The 20,934-nt window shown below is 37.1% G+C and overlaps 1 protein-coding gene across 9 annotated transcripts in view; it reads right to left on the bottom strand.

Annotated features, from left to right (window-relative positions):
• The window catches only part of NUBPL (NUBP iron-sulfur cluster assembly factor, mitochondrial), a 299,821-nt gene that overhangs the window by 15,705 nt on the left and 263,182 nt on the right, over nt 1-20,934 (bottom strand). For 8 of the 9 annotated variants that reach the window (NR_120408.2, NM_025152.3, XM_047431787.1 and 5 more), the window contains one exon: nt 18,806-18,891. Coding sequence is in view for 8 of the 9 variants with exons in the window: in NM_025152.3 (NP_079428.2) it covers nt 18,806-18,891 (86 nt within the window). In the remaining variant the exon portion in view is untranslated. Of the gene's footprint in view, nt 1-18,715; nt 18,892-20,934 lie in introns of those variants that run through there. The other variant, XM_047431788.1, reaches the window with a different exon arrangement.

The raw sequence follows: 20,934 nt of genomic DNA, 5'->3' as shown, positions 1-20,934 counted from the left end.
CCGGCTAATTTTGTATTTTTAGTAGCGACAGGGTTTCTTCCTGTTGGTCAGGCTGGTCTCGAACTCTCAACCTCAGGTGATCCGCCCACCTCGGCCTCCCAAAGTGCTGGGATTAGAGGAGTGAGCTACCGTGCCCAGCCGAGATGGTTATTTTATCATTCTCATTCTATGGTTGAGAAAACTGACAGTGCTAACAAAAGAGTAAAACTCAGCTCTTATCAGAATGTTATTGTCTGAAACAAAATTAAGTTTCATAGAAAAGGTCATTCTCTTTCTAAGTTTCCCTAGATTCTGCTACAAAATAGATACAGCTAAACCTTGAACATGAGTTTGAACTGTGGGGGGTCCACTTATGTGTGAATTTTTTTTGAACCAACCACAGATAAAAAATATAGTATTTGCCCGCCACAAAACCCAAGTACCGGAATGGCTGATGTCCTAGAAGCAACTGTGGGACTTCAGTATGCATGAATTTTGGAATATGCAGTGGCGGGGGGAGGGCGATTCTGGAACCAATCCCCCACATATATTGAGGGAAGATGATACTTAAGAAATGTTATTATTCAACAATACTGTTGAATAAATAGATAGGCTCTGCAAATATAATCCTTACTCATGTTCCTTTTAATCCCACTCTCTCATTGATGAGGAGCAGTAGCTCTCTTCTAGAATAAAAATGCAGAACACTATTTTCAGAGGCTTAGAGATTACAATAAAAATGCAGAACACTATTTTCAGAGGCTTAGAGATTACAATGTCTGTATCAGTTCTACCATAAGGTTATGATTGTAGATTATTAGAACATTTGCATTTTAAATGAAGAACAGTACTGATAGTCCACAATGAAACATATAGATAAGAAGGCGAAAAAATTGTTATTCTTTCTGAAAAGAGAAATAGAAAAAACTAAAGTTGCCCCCAATAATTATATATGAAGACAAATAGTAAAAAGACATAAATCTATAGCAAAGCATTTTCCAAGCATCTAATATATGCCCTTTTGCTGATGCACACTATCACAAAAAATAAATCACGCTGTGTTTTGGGAATTCAGTACTATCTCCAGAAAGCTAGAGAGAAACATAGCTTAATGTCACACAGCTTGTTTATTAACTATGCCTATATAATACACTCACTGCTTGGGCAGTTTTACTGCCATTTATGTTAAATGTGATATATCCCCTGACTGTATGGCTCTCAATTTAAACAAAAAATTATCACTCAAAAAGTGAGAAAAGGAAAAACACCTAAAGAAAGTGAAAATCTTTGTGAGGGTATATTTCAATTCAGAGAGAACAGGAAAAACATTCTGACCTTGGAATCTCTTAGACTCCCTAAGACATAGAGGCATAGAACAAGTGTGTATTTGCAGTTTGTGTGATTTACATCTTCTTATCACATCATTCTCTATGGACTGTATAAATATCTCAGACATGTTCTCTATAGACTACACAAATGTCACAGACCTAAAATATAAAACTATAACCAAACTCAATATTTAACGAGCTCTTAATATATGCCAGTAACTGGGCTAAACACAAGGAATAGCATACAGTGCTGAGCAAAACAGACTTGATCCTTACCCTTTGGAGCTTGTACTGTAATTGGAGGAAATTGACTGAACAAAGAATAGTGCAAAAATACACTCATAAAATGGAATGGCTTCTCTGGAAGCAAAGTATAGGGTATTATGAGAGTGTAGAACAGAGAGGACTTGATGTACTCTGGGAGTCAGAGAGGGCTTCCTTGAAGAAACATTTGATCTTAAAGCTACAGAGTGACTGGGCAAAAACAAGGAAAAGGGAAGAAAAACATTCAAAACAGAAGTAGGGAGCACATGTCTCCCTTCAAGGAACTGAAAGGCCAGTCTGAGGCCTCTAAGGTGTGGTGTGAGTGGAGTTAGATGAAGCTGGAAAGGTGGGGCTTGTAGGCTATATTAAGGTGTCTGAGTTATATAATGAGTGCTAAAAAGCCATTACAGAGTTGTAAGCAAGAGAGGCCACTATGCCTGTAGTTGTAGTTGACTCATTACTCAGGACTTCAGTGTGTTAAAAACAATACAAAATAATGGAAGAAGCTAAATAGACTTGTCTTTGTGTGTTTATTTTCTTAGACAAACACAAATCCTGGGCTGTGTTCTCCAAAACTGATCATGAGAGAGGTGTCAACTTTTAATGCTGTCTAAAATATGTCCATTTCTCTGCCTGGGCACAAGGTTAGGACTTTTCTTCCCTCAAATTAGGTAGGAACACATAACTTGTTTTGGCCAATGAAACGTATGCAGAAGTGCCATGTGTCAAATCTAGGCCAAAGCTTTAAGTGTTAATTCCTCATTATTTTTCCCTCTGTCCTGATGACAAGCAAGCCTCCAGCTGGTGGCTGCTGTATCAGTCTGGGTGCCAGGGTGTTGAACAATACAGAGAACGATGCAATACAGAGGAGTGTTGAAGCCAAACCACAATGGACACAGAGCATGAGACAAATAAACCTGTGCTGTTTTAAGCCACTGAAATTTGAGAGTTGATAACACACATAACCTAGCCCATCTTGGCTGATATAGAGGTGTAAAAAGAAAACATTAGGATTTCTATTTCTATGTTATGATTTCCTTTCAATTTCAATTTTGTGTGTTTTATAAAGAAAATAACATATTAATGTAGTAATATATGTATACTACATATACAATATATAACTTATTAATAAATATATTTCATACATATATTAGGTTATATGTTCAAACATCATTTACTAATAAGGATGTATAACTGAAAGTCTGGAGGTAGACTGGGCATGGTGGCTTATGCCTGTAATTCCAGAAGTTCAAGACCTGTCTGGGCAACACAGCAAGACCCTGTTTCCACGACACACAAAAAAATTAGTCAGGTGTGGTATCACACACCTGTGGTCCTAGCCACTCAGGAAGCTGAAGTGGGAGAATTGCTTGAGCCTGGGAGGTTGAGGCTGAGGTGAGCTCTGTGATTGTGCCACTGTACTCCAGCCTGGGTGACAGAGCAAGGCCCTATTTCAGAAAGGAAAAAAAAAGTTTGGAACTAAAGAACCCTTTATATGTTTGAAAGTCAGAGGTTTTGATAACTAAGCTTGGCTCTATTACTGATAATATGTAACTTCTCCTAGTTAAAGGATAAATGTTCTAATATTGCTTCCTAGACATCTTGAATAAATTAATTCCACTTAACTCTAGAATTTCCTCATCTTAAGAACGTCCCACACATATACCACTTTGCTTGATTTTACCAAAAAACTTGGTTGTAATAGAATAAAGAGCCCAGAACAGGCCAGACGTGGTGGCTTATGCTTGTAATCCCAGCTCTTTGGGAGGCCAAGACGGGCGGATCATGAGGTCAGATCAAGACCATCCTGGCTAACACGGTGAAACCCCATCTCTACTAAAAATACAAAAATTAGCTGGGCGTGGTGGCGGGTGCCTGTAGTCCCAGCTACTCAGGAGGCTGAGGCAGGAGAATGGCGTGAACCTGGGAGGCAGAGCTTGCAGTGAGCTGAGATTGTGCCACTGTACTCCAGCCCAGGCGACAGAGGAAGACCCCGTCTCAAAAAAAAAAAAAAAAAAAAAAAAAAAAAAAGCCCAGAATCGACCCATACATGAAAGTCACTAAGTTACAATGGAGACAACATAGTACTGCATGTTAACTGGATATCCATATATAAAATAATGAATCTTAACCTCCTACCTCATTCCATACACAACAATTAATTCCAGGTGAATTTTAGAGCTAAATATGACAGGTAAATAATAACACTTTTAGAAAAAAATAGGCAATATACTAATGCTGCAGGCAGGCAGAGATTTTTCTAGCAGGACACAAAGTTACACTAGACACAAATGAAATTATTTAAATTAAATTGGACTACATTAAAATTAAGAAATTAATCAAAAGATATGATTCAAGAGTGAAAGGGCAAGCTATAGAGTGGGAGATGGTATATACAATACACATACATGACAAAGGACTTTTACCCATAATGTATAAAGAACTCCTGCAAACCAATAAGGAAAAGCCAGATAATACAATAAAGAAATGGGCAAGAGATTTAACAGATATTCCACAAAAGAAGATACTCAAAGTACATTTATGCTTAAGACTGTATTAGAAAAGAAATATCAATATGACTAAACAAAAAACAAAATTATATCAAATGTTTGTGAGAATGTGAAACAAGTAAGATTCATTGTTTCAGTTGAGTGGAAATGGGTACAATCATTTTAAACAACTGTTTGGCAGTATCTACATAAACTGATACATGTTTATACTACAGCCCAGCAATTCCACTTCCAGTTATGTATCAACAGAAACATGAACAAAACATTCACTAAAAGACATGTCCAACAATGTTCATAACAGCACTAGTCATAATAGTCAAAAATGGAAAACTACTCGTGTCCATCAACAATAAAATGGACAAACTGTGATATATTTAATGGAATGCTACAGAGCAATGACAAGAAAAGAACGATGGCAACTATCAGCAGTATAAGTGAATCTCACAAACATAATTTTAAACAAAATAAACCGGACACACAAACGTATAACACTATATTATTCTGTTTGTAAAAATTTCACAAACAAGCAAAACTAATCTATAGTGTTATAATTCGGGTTCCATTTTGGGGTAGTGACTAGAAGGTGGCACAGGCAGGAGTTTTTAGGATGCTGGTAATGTTCTATTTCTTATTTTGAAATTTTATATTGTTTGACTGACATTTCCCCAATCCCTGCTGCCCAGCCCCTGGTAACCACCATTCTACTCTCTACCTCTATAATACAACTTTTTTTGGATTCCACATATAAGTGAGATTATGAAGTATTAGTCTTTCTGTACCTGGCTTATTCTACTTCATATAATGTCCTCCAGGTTCATCCATGTTATTACAGGATTTCTTTCTTTTTCTTTTTTTTTTTTTTTGAGATGTGGAGTCTTGCTCTGTTGCCCAGGCTGGAGTGCAGTGGCGTGATCTTGGCTCACTGCAAGCTCCGCCTTCTGGGTTCACACCATTCTCCTACCTCCGCCTCCCCAGTAGGTGGGACTACAGGCGCCCGCCACCACGTCTGGCTAATTTTTTTGTATTTCTAGTAGAGATGGGGTTTCACCGTGTTAGCCAGGATGGTCTCGATCTCCTGACCTCGTGATCCATCTGCCTTGGCCTCCCAAAGTGCTGGGATTACAGGTGTGAGCCACCGCGCCTGGCCAATTTCTCTCTTTTTAAAGGCCAAATAGTATTCCATTGTCTGTGTCTATGTGTGTGTGTGTACACATTTTTAAAATCCATTCATCTGTTGGTTGATTCCATATCTTGGCTATTGTGAATAGTGCTGCAGTAAACATGTGAGTGCAGGTATCTCTTTCGTAAACTGATTTCGGTTCCTTTGGATATATTCCCAGCAGTGGGACTGTAGGATCATATGGTAGTTGTATAGTTAATTTTTTTAAGGAACCTCCATACTATTTTCCTTAATGGCTATATTAATTTATATTTCCACCCAAAGGGTGCAAGGGTTCCCTTTTCTTCACATCCTCGCCAACACTTTTCTTTTGCTATTCTAACAGGTATGAGGGGATAATAGCTATTCTAACAGGTATGAGGGGATATCTCATTGTGGTTTTGATTTGCATTTCCCTGATGATTAGTGATACTAGCATTTTTTCACATACCTGTTGGCCATTTGTATGTCTTCTCTTGAGAAATGTCTACTCAGATCCTTCACCCATTTAAAAAAATCAGGTTGTTTGTTTTCTTGCTATTGGGTTGAGTTCCTCATATACTTTGAATATTAACTCCTTATGCATGTTTTGCAAATATTTTCTCTCATTCTGTAAGTAGTCTCTTCACCCTGTTGATTGTTTTCTTGGCTGTTCAGAAGCTTTTTAGTTTGATGTAATCCTATTTGTCTATTTTTGCTATTTTGTCTATCCAGAAAAATAATTGCCCAGACCAATGTCATAGAGCTTCTCTTCTAGGTTTTCTTCTAATACTTTCATAGTTTCAGGTCTTACATGTAAGTCTTTACTTCATTTTGGGTTGATTTTTATATATGGTGTGAAATAAGGGTCTAATTTCATTCTTCTGCATGTGGACATCCAGTTGTCCTAACACCATTTATTGAAGCAACTGTCCTTTCTCCATTGTGTGTTCTTGGCACCTCTGTCAAAAATCAATTGACTGTAAATATATGATGTCTAGGCTCTCTATTGTTCTATTTCTGGGATACAAACAGTGGGTATGTTTGCTTTGTAAAAATTCATTGAGCTATAATTTGTGCCCTTTTATGTATGTATGTCACAGCTTCAATGAAAAGTTTGCTTTTAAAAAAGGTGGTCATGAGAAGAATGGTAATAAAGCAATAAGAACAAAAAACCAAAACAATGACATATTAGGTGTCTTGTGAACTTGTATATAAAAACAACCATCTGTTTTTCAATAGAAAATATTCTATAAAACCAAAAGCAGTAAAATTAAAATGAGTTCCTTGGGAGGAATAATCTCCTATTCTTCCTAATTAATACTTCAACGAAAGCCCTGAAATAAAGTCTAACTCCATAGAAGCTCTAAAATGGTAGGGCTATAGACCCACAATGCCCAATAGGGTAGCCATTAGTCACGTGTGGCTGGCTACTGGATACTTGAAATGTGGCTAGTCTGAATTAACATGTCTTATAAGGATAAAATACACCCTAAGTACTGAAGACTTAGTACAAGTAAAAAAAATGTAAAATATCTGAATAATTTTTAAAGTTTACAAGTTATTTATTTTTAACCTTTTCCATCAAAGTATATCAGGAACACACAAAAAAGTACTTAAGTTTAGGCAAAATGGAGTCACCAAAATGTATGCCCATGTTACCAAGACCCTGTTAATAAAATGTTGCCAACACCCCAGAAGTTTCCCTATATATCCTCCAAACACATTCCCAAAGGTATTCACTAACCTGCTTTCTAACACCATAAATTAATTTTGTGTTGTTTTGAATTTGATACTAATGGAATCATGCAATATATATTTTTGTGTCCAAGTGATTCATCCAGCTAAACTATGTACCTGTAATTTATTTTCATTGAGTCCTAAGATTTTATAATGACTATACCACAAATATCCATTCTCCTTTTGGGTCATTTGGGTTGTTTCCAGATTTTGGCTGCTGTAAATAATGCTTCTGTGAATGTTTTTGTACATGTCTCTCTCTTTTTTTTTTTTTTTTTTTTGCTGGATATTAGGTTATATGTATTTAACTTAATACGTTAAAGAAGCAAAAGTTTCCAAATAAAGTTCTATCAATTTATACTACCACCAGCAATGTATGAGAATTCCAGCCATTCCACAGCCTGGATCTTTGGTACCATCAGTTTTTATAAATTTTAGCAAATATGATGAATGTGTAGTAGACTCTCATTGTGCTGGCTTGTTCAACCGTTTACTTGTTTATACTGTGAACCAAATTACTTAGACTCTTCCTTACATGGTTCCTGGTTAAAGTTTGCCAAAAGTAAAGTGGCGGGAGATCTGGAAGGTGGAAATGAAGGCTTAGGCATTACACATTACTGGTTTTCTTTGTTCAGAGACAGTGAAAGGAAGATTCGGAGGTGCAGCTGCATTCCAGTTTGTCCTCATTTTTCTGGAGTCTGTGCCCAGCTATCTTTTCTACTATGGTTTTAATTTGCATTGCCATAATTATTAATAAAGTTGACTATATGTTTTACATTTTTTTGTCATTTGTATATCCTCTTCCATAAAGTGCCTGCTCGGGTCTCTTGCCTATTTTTTCAATTGATTATATGTCTTCTTCCCCTTACTGAATTGTAAGAATTCCTAGTGTTTTTCAAATACAATTCCTTTTTGGTTGATCCTCAATAATTTTTATGTGGTTTTCATGTTGAAATGATAATATTTTGAATATACTGTGGTACATATATTATTAAAATTAACTTCTTCTTTTCTTTCTATTTAAAATATGGCTACTAAAAACTTCAAAACTACGTTTGTGGTTCGTATTTCCATGGTTTATATTTCCACTGGACAGTGCTGCTCTAGAAAATTAAAGCCTGACTGTAGAAGCTATTTTGGTAGTTCTCCTACCTAATCTTTTAAGGGTCTAAAGATGCACAAAAATATTTTGTCAGGTTCTGTGATTTATAATGAATTTTTGTTTTTTTTGAAACAGGGTCTCACTCTGCTGCTCAGGCTGGAATGCAGTAGTGTGATCACGGCTCACTGAAGCCTCAAACAAACTGCAACTCCCGGACTCAGGCGATCTTCTTGCCTCAGCCTCCTAAGTAGCTGAGACTACAGATGCATGCCAGCACACTCAGCTAATTTTTTATTTTTTGTAGAAACAAGGTCTTAGTGTATTGCCAAGGCTGGTCTTTAACTCCCGGCTTCAAGCAATCCTCCCACCTCAGCCTCTGCACCTGGCCTATTACGAATATTTTTAAAAACTGAACATAAATAAAACACTTTAAAAATATACAAGACAGATAAACTACCAAGTTTCTGTGCTTTTAATTGAAATTACATCAGCCAAATGTGATAATCTTCTTTTATGGTTATCTCATTCTGTGCAGAGCTCATACAACAGTTATATACATAACTCTGTGTATGTCTCTCTCTGTATGCACAGAGATACAGTTATATCTATATATAGATGTACATACATATTATTTATATATTCTATCTTTGATTTATTAAAAAAGAGAAGACATCAGTCATTAATTAACATATGCAAACAGTGGCAAACAATTCTTTCAAAACATGGGGTTAGCTGGGGGACAATTTAAAAGAAAGCCTTGGGTATTAAAAAGCTTAGAAACCACTGCTCAAGTTCACTTAACAGCAATCCTCCATAATCAAGGAGGTTTTGAATGGGGGCAACTAATGCAGTAAGAACATTAGAATATCCATATTACAGTTTTGTTCATTAAAAATTCTTCTCTCTTAAATAGGAAAGAATTCAAGTCCATTATGATGTCTTCCCCGCCAAATAAGCCTTACATCTTGTGAATACTTCATATACTGTTAAGCTGTTTGTATTTATTGTAGAGCTATTGTGTATATCCTTTAATAGCAGAAACATTAGAAAACAGATTCTTTGCTATAGCTTAATTTACATAATACCACTGAGATACAGCTGTAAGCATGCTCAATCATTTTTTAATGTCTCATCAAAGCATAAGGTCCTTTTTTCTTTTTACCTCAGCTACTTTTACTGAAAGAAAGCAAATACTACATGCCTGGCTACCATCAGCCACCACAACCTTTTTGCGTGTGATTTTTGCAGTATTCCAATCCATCACTGGCTCAGAAGGGCACTTCTTTTCTTAACTTTTTAAAAATTGATTCTCTTGAAATATGAACATCGCTCTGAATATTGGATTTTTCTGTCTAAATCTATTGAATTAAGGAGGCCCAAAAGGCTCCAATTTTAATTTATTTTTCACATTTTAAACCCAGATACAGGTAAGTAACAAGCAAGATTTTTAAGCTACTATATAATCCAATTTATCCAGGTTACAATCAGGTTAAATGCTTGCTGGTTGGAACCTGTTACAAGCATTAAAAGCCATGATTTAAGAAAAAGTGAGGAGGAAAAATTCATTGTTAAATAATGAATGATAATAACTGAAATAGATTAGATTCATAACTGCTTTTCAGTTCTTTGTTAGACTCAAACCAGTTTTTGGTATACTCCTTGAAGCATGTGCATGGATGTTATAAGTTTTAAAAATGAGACAGGTGTTCTTGTTTTCTCTTTCAGAAATAGTCATTTGACATGGAAAGAACAATGAATGGGGGGGCCTGTGTCCATGCTCCTTTCAGGGACCAACTAAATAGTTGTGGGTCCATGAGGTGCAACTCAATTTCTCTATGTCCTGCATTCTTAATCTTGAAAACAAAGATTTATAATGATCTCTAATGTCTACCACTATATCAAAAACATTCAGAGCTACCCTTTACCATACCGTGTGCTAAGGCTATGCTAAGTAATGTAAATATAATCATGCTTCACTGCCATAGTGACCAATGAGATGGGTATTATCATCCCTATATGATGGAAGGAAACTCTGAAGCTAAATTATTTGCTCAAGGTCACACAGTTAGTAAATGACAAAGCCAAAATTCAAACTATCTGAGTGACTGGTTTGTATAAGGAAGTCACCAAACAAGATGACAACTAGATAGAGACTTTTGTGCATGGAATTAGGTGGCTTAAAATAATAATGAGTCAATAAAGTTGAGCAATATAGCATAGTAATTAAGAGCACAGTTACAGGGCAGGCCTGATTTGAGCCATCCTTACCACCCAGTGCTGCAGTCAAGTCTTAGGCTTCATTCCTTTCTCCTAGATCCTGGACGTGGAACTCCCCTTCCCCTTATCGCCCACATGATACCTCCTTAACTGTCAACAGAACCTATGGCTCCTTAACTCCTCCCCATTTTCAATCCACCAGTTTCCTCTGGCTTCACTTGTCTACCTTAATAATCAGAACCCCAATAACAAGCAAATTTGATGAAGAACCCTCTTATACCCTAGATTCTGTCACCCTGTGATAGTCCATGATGTCCACAGTACTAAAACTCAACTCTGGAGTATCCACAGAAACTGCAGTTAAGAATACGGGCTCTGGAAAGCTGACTTCTTGGATCAGAGCCCAGATGTCCCACTAAACAAATAGATATTCTTATGTAAGTTATTTAACCTCTCTCAACCACATTTCCTCATGTGCAAAATGGGGGAAATGATGTTCTGTATTTCACAGGGTTGTTGTGAGAGATGAGTTTAATTTATGTAACTCACATAGAACAGCATTCTAGTTCAAAGCATACATAGACTTCTGAGAGAGCCTGGGGAAAGTCACAAATAAGCATATATCTCCAGTCTCTGAGAAATAATTATGGCTGAGATGCAGAATGCTATCCAGTCTCATAAAGGTAATAAAGATCGTCTAATTTTTCTAAGTAAACAATATAATCCTTAACCTTTACAAATAAATACTAAAAAGTTCCAGACCGGCCAGGCGCAGTGGCTCACGCCTGTAATCCCAGCACTTTGGGAGGCCAAGGTGGGCAGATCATGAAGTCAGGAGATCGAGACCATCCTGGCTAACACGGTGAAACCCCGTCTCTACTAAAAGTACAAAAATTAGCCAGGCATGGTGGCAGGAGCCTGTAGTCCCAGCTACTCAGGAGGCTGAGGCAGGAGAATTGCTTGAACCCAGGAGGCGGAGGTTGCAGTGAGCCAAGATTACACCACTGCACTCCAGCCTGGCGACAGAGCAAGACTCTGTCTCAAAAAAAAAAAAAAAAAAAAAGTTCCAGGCCACAGTAGGCTTGTCTCTGTTTTTTGTTTTTAGCAGAAAAATTAAACCACAGGAAAGGTAGAATTTCTATCTCTCCTTTATAAAATAAATATTTGTAAGAGTAAAATAGTTATACAATTTTCAGAATTATTTATTAGGAAATAAATCAGTTCAGTGATCTACATTAGGATTTAATCTATATATTTGTTTCCAGGTCAAATGTGGTATAGACTGCTAGCTGCTCACCAAAATTCATGATCTCATCTTCCTTGGCACACAACTAATTGATATTTCTTAGGCTTCTTGAGAGATATGACATGTGGCCATGTGACTGATTTTAGCTAATAGAATGTGCGCAGAAGTATGTGTATCACATCTAGGTCTGGCCCATAAAAATCTCCAATGTAGGTACATCCCTCTGTATTCTCTTTCCTTGTGGCTAGCTAGAATGAAGATGGCTCCTAATGTAATTTTAGAAGTCACAATTGAAGATGACAGAGGCTCCAACAGTCTGAAAGACTGCATGGAAGAAGGCTACTCTGCTCACCTGTTCATCTACTGTAATGGTACTGTTACATGAGCAAGAAAGAAACTGCCATTGTATTTGTATCATTATATATTTTGGGGTCTACTTGTAACAGCAATTAGCCTTCCTTAAATGATGTAAATTTCAAATAATGCAGAATTTTAGACTCAAAATAATATAGCAACTTAATAAATCTATATGAAGATAATATAGATGGCTCAATGAATATACTCAAGGAATAAAGAAATCTCAAAAAACAGTAGTGTTTAAAATTCTAATTAATTTTTTTTTTTTGAGACAAGGTCTCACTCTATAACACTCAGGCTGGAGTGTACTGACATGATCACAGTTCACTGCAGCCTAAACCTTCCAGGCTCAAGCGATCCTCCCACCTCAGCCTCCTGAGTAGCTTGGACTACAGTTGCATGCCACCATACTTGGCTAATTTTTTATTCTTTTAAAGAGACAGGGGTCTCAATATGTTGCCTAAGCTGGTCTTCAACTCCTAGCCTCAAGCAGTACTCCTGCCTCGGCCTCACAAAGTGCTGGGATTACAGGCATGAGCCACCACGCCCAGCCCCAAATTCTTATTACCAACTAAAGGGATTAGTTAAAATACCCAGGTAAAATACATAAAAATCTGTAAATTTATCTGTTTCATAACATTCTAAAAAGTAATTACAAGAAAAAATTAATTATATAACATTATGTAAACATTGAGTGCTTAGACTGCCAGGAACTGTACTTAAGCCATTTATATGCATTATCTTATTTCTCATCTTAACCTCCTGAGGAAAATATTACTATGATTCCCATATGATGATTGAGAAAACTAAGGCATAGAATAGATAACTCAGGTCATACAGTTACAAAGTGGCAGAGCTGGGATCTACAATTCAAACTCCTCAGCTCATGCTCTTCACTACTATGCAAAAATGCCTCTGCAAGTAGTTTCCTATCATCTAAAAAATTATAAGAAAATTTGGAAAGCAATTTAATTTGAAACCACAAAAGAATATCAAAAATATAGTTCTCTAAGTGGTAATAAAAATCTGTATATAAGAAATTTTTTAAAGAGTATTTCTTTTGTCAGTATCTTTACCAGTTTCTTCCTTGACAAACACTATTAAATCACAACTCTCAAAGAGAAGAAGGGCAGAGATTTGTGACTGAGAACCTAACCTCTTATTTCTAGTTTGTTGTCTACCTGAGCTACAAAGCAGCTCCTGGTAGATTTATTAATGGCATCATAACTCTCAAAATTCTTTTGATTTCTGCCTTTTTTGTTCTAACTCTCCTACCCTATACAATCGATTCCCAAGATTTTCAACTCTTCCTTCAAAATGTCAATTACATTCATTTCCCCTTCCACTTTCACTGGCATTATTCTAATTAAGCCCCTTACTGCCTATCACCTACACCATGTTTTTCCAACTTTTTAAACTGTCTTACTGATAAAAGAAATATTTCACATCTTGACTACATGGAAGAAGGCCACTCTGCTTATCTGTTCATCTACTGTAATAGTACTGTTACATCAGGAAGAAACACAATACACACATATGTGTATTTATACTTGAGACCAAATCTTTATGAAATAAGACTGTCTTCCTAAGAGCAATTTACTCTGACATGGTTTAAGCATTTTTGGTTACATCTCTTACTGTATCAATTTCACGATCTGTTGGTGGGTCACAATCTGCAGCATGAATAACTTTGATCATTGCAAATGTTCCCTTACTTCCTCTATGTTTCCTGGCTCCTATTCTTTTTATTCATCTCTATCAGATTAAAACTTTGTAAAGCTCTATCCTAATGATGTTTACTTCCCATCCAGCATTCTTTATGAACTCCTCTTATAATCTTAAGAAGAAAGTACAAATTCCTTAGCCTACTGTTTAGGGCTCTACCAAACCTGGCAATACACCAATGCGTAACTATCTCAACTATAGACAAACTGAACAATCCTGAACACAACTTGTGTATTCCTGATTCTTTCAAGACTGAATTCTGTCCCTCCCTAGTCCCTAGATATGCCTATGAAAATCCTACTCCACTCATTCACTCAGTATATATTTAGCGAGAAACTACATCTTCCAGGCACAGCGAGAGAGACAGGTGGTCATAGAGCTTATAGTATGAGTATAGTATGGTATGGTATGGTATGGTATGGTATGGTATGGTATGGTATGGTATAGTACAGTATAGTATAGCATAGTATGCTAATGTGAAAGTACTGACAAATGTGAAAACAGTTAGAAAAGGAGTAATAGAGTGTAATTGGATCATAAAATTAAAAAAGCTCATAAAAGGGTTAGGGCAGGCTGGGCACCGTGGCTCACATCTGTAATCCCAGCACTTTGGGAGACTGAGGCGGGTGGATTGCTTGAGGTCAGGAGTTTGAGACCAGCCTGGCCAACATGGTGAAACCCCGCCTCTACTAAAATACAAAAATAAGCTGGGCGTGGTGGTGGGTGACTGCAATCCCAGCTACTAGGGAGGCTGAGGCAGGAGAATTGCTTGAACCCAGGAGGCAGGGGTTGCAGTGAGCCGAGATCACACCACTGCACTCCAACCTGGGTGACAGAGCGAGACTGTCTCAAAAAAATAAATAAATAAATAAATAAAAAGGATTAGGGCACCTCTCCCTGAGAAAAGCTTTTTGTTTAATCTAAGTACCAAAGTATAAAAAGGAGTTAACAGGTGAAAAGTGAGGTTAAAATGTTCTCCAGTAGGAAAAAAGCATGGTAAGGGTCCTGAGGAGAAAAATGGTGTGTGGAAACTTCAAAGAAGTGGAAGAAGACCAGTTTGGCTGTGGCACAGAGAAAGCAAGGCAGAGTAGCCCATGAGTTGGGGTAAAGGGAACAGCAGATGTGGATGGCATTACATCCCAGATCAAAGTATCCTGCCTGCTATATGCCAGGTAACTATGCATTTAAGAATGTTTAAAGCATGTTTTCTTGCTATCCAAAACCTGCATTCTTCTGTGAAGACTGACAGGTAAACCTGCAGTGGAATAAGAACCAAACTAAATATATGTGTAAGTAGATCTGAGACAGGAGTATTAACTTTTCCTGGCATACTGGGAAAAGCTTTCTAGAAGAAATAATGTCTGAGCAGAGATGTTAAAAATGAATACATGAGTTCCCTAAATTGGCCATGGCTTATCAGGCAAAGGACCAGGATGTGTAAAATTACAGTGGCATGAAAAAAATAATCATGGCTTTTCCATAAAGTCATCCCTGATAGCCTGGAAGAAAAAGTGTTTTCATGCATCTCAGAATTTAAGGCCTTTGCATCAAAATAGAGTTAGTCTACAGGATGATATAAAGTACTTGAAGAAAGAGGCTTCATCCTCTTTATTTTTTTCTAAACCACTAATGGAAGTTTATTATAGCACTTTGCTTATAGAAGACACTAAATATCAGTAAATATAGATTTGTGGAAAAATAAATTAATCACATTTGTTGAATTAAAAGTAACTAAGTGATCCCTTATGTGCCGAAGGAGTAAGAGAATAAATATACTTTAATTTACTTTTCAGTAGCAGGGAATGAGATTATCAAAGAAGGAAGGGGTATATAGTGAAATCCCTTTGACATCAGAAGTTCAAATGGTAGGAGAAGGGCTCCAGATCGGGGTGCCTGGGACTCCCACATATAAGAAGGCAAGAAAAATGAGTGAGAATGACACAACACATAAATTACTCATTATTAAAAATGTATAAGACTGAAAATTTTTATTTTGTTTAAAAAAATAGTCTACCTACAAATATTGAGATAATTGAGGATTTGGCATAGTTGCTATCATTTCAGGCAGAGAACAGAGAATTTAATAGCTCATCTCTTCTCCTACTTCCCCTATCTAAGCCTTGAGTTTTAAGAAATCATTTAAATTAACTTCAATATGTTCTTGCAGACATTACTAAACTCTGTCCATACCGATGAATTCCAATGACATCATCGTTTCCATGGTAACTAATGCACGTCAAATGGGGGAAAAACAGAGAGCTGGACTAAAAACCAAGGGGAAGAAATGGAATAAAGTGGTATAAACAAAGCATAACATCTTTTTTTGTATTTATAAAACACTTAATAATTTCAAATCCTTTACTATTACTTTGGCTGTGGGGCTGGCTCTTAAGGCCCAGAGGGATCTCAGAGGTCAACAAATCCACTTCCCACTCATAGCCCAGACCTTCTTTACAATGTAGCTAATCATGATTGCCCAACTGTTCACAGAGCTTATTGCTGGAAAGTTCTCACTCATTCACTTGCAAACATTACTGAATACCTATCTTGTTCTGCAGGTTTAAGAAATGATTAAGACCTTCTATCTCTTTTAAAAAATGTTTGTAGTTTAGAAGGCAAATAATTTAAATGTAGGGTGGAAAAAAAAAAAGAGAGCTGTAATAAAGATACAGGAAGATGTCCAAAAGGCCAGAGGAAAGAACTATAAATTTCAACTTGGAAGAATTACACAGTTCCAATGACTTTCATTTCTACTCCCACTAAGTCCCACAAACCCATGACAGCATCCTGGACCTTGTCATGACCCAGAACTGCTCTAACTTGGCAAACTTATACTCTAATATCAACTTTCTGATCCCAAACAGCTCTTTCACCTTCTAACTGATCCCTGAAGTAGTCCTATGAGCCTTATGCAGTCCATCAGCCTTCATTTGGAATACTTCCTCACAATACTTCCTTGCTAATATCCTTAACGTCTATCCTTCAGTGGCATTCACCTAACAATAGCCTAACCTGGACTTAGTGACCATCCCTTTTCCTCTCTGTTATGTTCCATAAGGATTATCTGTCCAACCCTCTGTCTTAGAATTTAGGAAAAAATCTGTCAGAACAGTATGAGATTAAGTATCCACGTTCACAGGTATACAGGTTTACATAGGGACTGAAAAATAATATATGCTGAATTTGGCAACTACGGTCATTAGACTCCTAACTAGCAAAGTCCATGTAGGACTTTCTCCACAGCCAGTCACCTCAAATGACAGTGTCAGTTGAAATGGTATTTTGATATATAAAATGATAATTTATAGGGGGTAAAATTTTAAAAAGGTCTTACTCCTGCTCTGTTTAAAACTTTTTCCTCAAGGAATTCATGTTTTTGGGTGAGCTGAACACCCTCAACTCTCATCTTACAGAATGAGAAGTTAAGCATTCACTTATGTGCAAATAGAATGGCTATTATCCTGACTTTGGAGTGATCTTAATAGACAATTGGCACTGTTATCTAATTTCTGCCAGAAAGAAGGATTATAGATTACTTAAGTCAATGTCATAATTTTTGGTAGATAACCTCCTAACTTTTTGCTGATTTATATTTTAAAATCCCCTATAACAAGTAACCTTATTTAGTTATCTGGGTAGGCATTACTTGTGTCTAGTTTGTCTTAGAGGGCATAATACAAAGTAACACTGCTCAAATTAGGTGCTTTAGAGAGAGTTTTCGGTGTGAGGCAGGCATTTGGTTATCACTGTTTTAAAAATTTTCCAACCTAAAGTTCACGACATAGAACACTGGCCCTAAACTACTTGCTGATTACAATTATAAACCTGCTAGTGAAAAACCCTTGGACCACCTGGAAGGTAAGCATACAGGCACCTTCCTTATAAGCCTCCTCGATTTTCACGAGAACATGTCAATCCAACCCAGAGTTCCTCAGCTTGCCAATACCCACAGCACTGTGCTAACTGGCAAGGGAGAAGAGGTACTTGAGGAAATTCACCTCAACCATTCTACTACACTATTTTACACTTTTCAGAAGCCCTCTGAGAGATAAACATTTATGAAAGCTTCCCTTCAAGTCCATTCATTCAAATACATTACTGGATCTTATCCTGTGTCATGGTCTCACTGAAGAATCTGATAAAAGTTATAATTCATTCCATACCAAAACAAATACTTGTAGGCATACAATTTAGGGCTGGGGGAGGTGAGGGAGAGAAAAAACATGAGACTCCTGAAGCTAATCTACAGACTAAAGTTTAAAAAGCTCTGATATATATGCTCTAAAATCTGTCTTTGAATTAAGCAAGGCCACTAGCTAGCCAGCCACAGAGAAGCATCATGTTGACACTGTACTGAAATGTTTGCTTTAAATTGTACTCCAGCACAATTCCACCTGCTTTCATTGAGGCACACTAGAAGGAAGAACCCTGTATTTACTATAAAGAAGGTGATGAGAGTGTGTTCATTACATACACAGGTTCTTCTTTCTAAGAACCTAGGGAAGATATTTCTCTCTGGTCTCAGCTCTGTCTCTTTTGAGCATCCAGTTTTTTTTTTTTTTTAACTTTGTAGAAATGCACAGTTTTATAATGGTACTATTTTTCTTTTCCTTTGGCTGCTAGAAAAGTCACGGTACACCCCTAGCATGTATTTAAGTTTCTTAATAGCAGGCAATTTGTTTACTGACTTCACTTCTAACCCCATCTAATTTTAATTATTTTGTCTATTTTTATCTTATTTTTAACTTTCATTCCACCAAATTAGGGAGAAAATCCTGAAGTGTCTCCTAGAAGAAGGTGAGCTATAAATGAGTTGAACTGTAGGAGGCAGAAGGAAAAAAGTAATCTTTTTTTCATCCGCTTCCCCATAAGTGATCTATTCAAGCCTATCTATCTAAATAATTTCCTAAAACACTCTTGTAATTTTTTTTGTCAGTGATAGCTGCAAGTATGAGAGAAGTAGCACTTCTATAGAAAACTCTTACCTAAAGGGTGTTTTACAATTCTTATGGATTAATATCATGTATAGACATGTTTGTACCTATAAGTGTGTTTTTAAAGTCACCAAAATGATAAACTAGGACTTTCATAAAGACTTCTGTACAGGACTAAATTAAAACTTCAACTGTATTTTTCAATGACTTGCTTCTTCAGTTAGAAGAGTTTTATATTTTTCACAGTGAAGCTGTAAACGCTTACGGGCACGTGGACTCTGCGAAACATCTCAGCACCCTTGTGTGCATCCATCAATGCGATGTCCTGGGGCGTGGAGACAATCACAGCACCTAGCCAAAGATAAACAAAATACTATTATCTTTTAATTCTCTATGGAGAAATTACTTCCAGCATTATGTTGCTTACATACGCAAATAGTCTATTACGTTAACTATTTAGGTCATTCATATACATTTTACACACATGAATGAGAAAGACAAGAAAATGTCGACTTTGTTTTGGCCTACCTTTGAATCCTCACTTCTAAAATCACAACTGGGCCGGGCACGGTGGCTCACACCTATAATCCCAGCATTTTGGGAGGCCGAGGTGGGCAGATCGTTTGGGGTCAGGAGTTCAAGACCAGCCTGGCTAACATGGTGAAACCCTGTAACTACTAAAAATACAAAAATTAGCCGGGCATGGTGGCTCGTGCCTGTAATCCCAGCTACTTGGGAGGCTGCGGCAGGAGAATCACTTGAACCTGGGAGACAGAGGTTGCGGTGAGCGGAGATCACACCACTGCCTTCCAGCCTGGGTGACAGAGCAAGACTTCATCTCAAAACAAAAAATAAAATAAAATAAAAATCGCAACTGACTAATCAGTGATTCAGGATCATAACTCTATCAGTGGAACTTTCTTCTCATTCAGATAATGTGCTAGTTATACAGATGCACAAGCTAGGCTTTACTTTCAAATTAATAGTCCAATAGCCAGGCATGGTGACATGTGCCTGTAATCCAAACTACTTGGGAGGCTGAGGCGGAGGGATCACTTAAGCCCAGGAGTCCAAGACCAGCCTGGGCAATACAGTGAGACCCCATCTCAAAAAAAAAAATGGAAGAAAAAAGAAGAAAGAAGAAACAAGAAGAAGAAGAAGGAGGAGGAGGAGGAGAAGAAGAAATGAAGAAAGAAGAAAAAGGAGGAGGAAGAAGAAAGAAGAAAAAAGAAGATGACAATGAAGAAGATGATGAAGGAGAGGAAAAAGAGGAAGATGAAGAAGAAAGAACAAAAGAAAGAGAAAAAAAGAAAAGGAAAAGGAAAAAGGAAAGGAGAAAGAGGGGAGGAGGAGGAGGAGGAGAAGAAGAGGAAGATGAGGAGGAGGAGAAGGAGGAGGTTATTAATAGTCTACTTGGGAGACTGAAAAATTAAGCATTACAATACCATATGCTAAGGAGGAGGAGAAGGAGAACAAGGGGGAGGAGAAGAAAGAACAAGAAGAAAAGAAGAGGAGGAGGAGGAAGAAGAAGCTGTTAATATTCTACTTGGAAGACTGAAAAAATAAGGATTACAATACAATATGCTAAGCATTATAACAGAGGTGTGCACAGGGTGTTATGGAGTTATAAAGAAGAAATAGGAAGAAAAGCTAACTAATTCAATCTAGGAGAGAAAATGGTGAAGTATGACAGATGGAAGGGGAAGCTAGACATAGGAGAAACAATGGAGAAAAGTGTCCAGAAAGAGGTGATTCTTAGGCTGAGTCCTAGAAGTTTATATTCTTAAAAACTCACACTGTGGAAAGCAGTTTGGTGGGAATAAAACTGAGGGCTGTGGTAGAAATTCAGATGCAAAATGGTAGAGGCCTGAACTGAAGTGGATGGAGATGGCAAATTTTCTGGATCTCCACTACTACCCTACAGAAACCAGGTAGTACTACTGTACAGAGTTTTGAGAGAAAGTGCAGCACAATTTTTCTTTAGGTCAAAACAACAAAGGCCTGGTTAAGATTGGCTGAATCCGTGAATTTTTTTTTAATTTTGTGGTTCCCTCTAGATGATAACCTAAAAAATAATTAACATAAACATAATATAGATCACATGGCTGACCATCACCTTATAATTAAATACAGAATGCTGTGACAATTCAGAGCCCCAAACTGTTAAATTGGTATCAAGTGGCAGACACAACTAATGAAAACAGAGGCAAGATTAACAATAAATAACTGATTACACCAAGTGAAGGTCAAATGATACTAGACAGTATTGCCTGAAGGGATATTTTGAAGAAGTTCAAATAGAGAAAAGTGGTAGGAGAACTAAGTTATCACAAAGCACATGGCAGTATGGGCATGCCAAACTCAAAAGAACCTATACAGTAGTAGTTAGCTGTA

This window comes from Homo sapiens, chromosome 14 (assembly GCF_000001405.40).
Source record: "Homo sapiens chromosome 14, GRCh38.p14 Primary Assembly".
NCBI classification, from domain to species: Eukaryota; Metazoa; Chordata; class Mammalia; order Primates; family Hominidae; genus Homo; species Homo sapiens.
The sequence above is the reverse complement of the archived record's forward strand: the minus strand, read 5'-3'. Positions and strand labels throughout refer to the sequence as shown.